The 2,250-nt window shown below is 34.4% G+C and overlaps 1 annotated feature.

Moving 5' to 3' along the window:
- Positions 349-518: an enhancer, noted in NCBI's record as "experimental_75833 CRE fragment used in MPRA reporter constructs". NCBI's record gives its function as "activates a minimal promoter by MPRAs in K562 erythroleukemia cells, with activity observed for both the introgressed and non-introgressed 4:167207780 variant alleles {active_cell/tissue: K562}" and the evidence as "EXISTENCE:reporter gene assay evidence [ECO:0000049][PMID:34662402]".

Genomic DNA, 2,250 nt, shown 5'->3' on the forward strand with positions numbered 1-2,250 from the left:
ATTACATAAAAATATTTATAAAAAAGATGCTCAAAGTTTTGATTCACATCTTCTGCTTTGGGACCATGGAGTTCCAGGACCCCAAAATGCTGTTGATTACAGAATGGAGAGAGTCAAAGATGCCTTCTATTTCCAACAGAAACAGAGGCCAAGGAAAATATTATCTATACTTTTATATTGCAAACCTATGTCATTTCACATGCTCATTTTTATATGTGATGATTGGACACTCTAAATGCTTTGAAAAATGTACTGACTTTGTGGTTCAAAGAACACACGTTGAAACTAAAGTAAGTCTTAATTACCTTATTTTCCAAAGTATGTTACATTATTGCTCTATTGCAATAAAACCAGGATTGTTGATGGTTGAGAAAAGGGCAATAAAAATAAAACCTAAAGGTCATGCTAAGGCCAGAAATAATGAATTGAAATGGAAGTATATGATCCTGGCATTCATATAAAATAAAATCAACCGTGGAAATTCACAATAAGCCCAAGGCTATGCACAAAGTATAATAGAGAAAAGCTGGCCTTAAATGAATCCCAGAGGAGATTGTGCAGAATCACTCTCTGGATGAAAGATGAATTCCAAAATAGTTTTATTTGTTGAAATTATTTGAAATGATTGAAACGGCAAGCACGCTTTGGCATATATTTAGTCACTTCAGGGTACCGACACATTATTAGTATTCAGCACTAATACCAGTGGGCACATTTGTACAGTTATTTTCCTTTTTTTGTCATGTGAATGCAGTATTGTTTCCACATGCATACATCCCTCTATAGGCTTAATGAATGTATTTGTCTGTTGGCAGGTGCATGCAAATATTGTTAGATTGAATATGTGATTGTTTATTTTTCAGAAATGTAAATTGAATGTTTTAAAAGCATTTTAGGTTCACCTTCTGAGTATGCTAGGAAGTGAACGTTGTGTGATTCATTCCTTTTGCAAGGATAATGCAAAGTAAAAGCCATTTCTCACCAGCATATAGCTTAATATCTGAAACTCTAGATTCAGCATTTGGGATTATGCTTCTTTTTATATACAGCTAGGAGGAACAATGCATATTTAGTAAAGGCAAGTCACATAAATATTATAGTTTTGAGCATCAAGGAATACATTTTCAGAGTCATCAAATGTTTATTGAACACTTACGTGGCCAGTACTATTACATGTTCATAATAATCAATGTAAATTTATCAGTGAACAAACTATAAAATTCTTTACTCTTACAGAGATTACATTCTAATGGAGATTGAAGAGAGAATGTAAATCAAAGAAGGAATTGATACAAAATATTGGATAATAAGTGGTATGAAGAAAAATAAAGCATGTAAAGGAAAAGGGTATTGCCCAAAGTGAGATGTATACATTCAATAAGTGTGACCATATTTATGAATGACATAATATCATGTCTGGCATTTTCTTGAAAATAATCTATGGTCCAGTGCAGATAAATAGAAAGGACCATGGATGAAGTTTGACCATGAGTTGATTTTTTTTTTTATCTAGATGATATATGCATGGGGGTCCATAATACTGCTCTCTCTGCTTTTGAAAATGTTTGTGAGTGTTCATATTTAGTTAATAAAAACAGCGTTCACAAAGAATTTCCCCAGGAAGATAACATTAAAGAGCCAGATTGGAAGAAGTGAAAGATTCAGGTGCAGTAATAGCAATTACAAGCTGTTGAAATCATTGCATGCCTGGAAGGTTCTAGAAACAGTAAGAAGGTAAGTGTTGCTAGAGTGGAATGAGAGAAATTGAGAATATTAGGAGATGTGTAGGAGCCAGATTGTGTAGGTCATTGTAAGAATTTCTCCATGAGTAAGATGGGAAGTCATTGGAGAGGTTCAGGAGAGAAAAGTAATCCAATTTGAATTTTAGAAGCATCACTATGGCTGTGCTGCTTAGACAACAGTAGAGATAAGCATGGAATTCCTGAGACTAGTCAGTTGGCTATTTCAAAATGTAGAAGATGGTGGCTTGGGGCAAAGTGATATCAATGGAGTTAGTGAGATGTGGTCAGCCCCTGAATTTGTTAGCAGGTGGCATCAATAGGATTTGCTGAAGGAAAAAATGTGGGTTGTAATTTATGAGAGAAAGAAAAGACTCATGGATGATTCCAAAGTTTGGGCCCATGCAAACTGAAAGAAGAATTTTTCCATTAAGTGAGACAAGGAGAACTTCAGGAAGATTAATTAGGGGATGATTTTATGTTGGTTTTAAGAAAGACCATGGTGAGAAGA

Source organism: Homo sapiens, chromosome 4 (assembly GCF_000001405.40).
Source record: "Homo sapiens chromosome 4, GRCh38.p14 Primary Assembly".
Taxonomy (NCBI): Eukaryota; Metazoa; Chordata; class Mammalia; order Primates; family Hominidae; genus Homo; species Homo sapiens.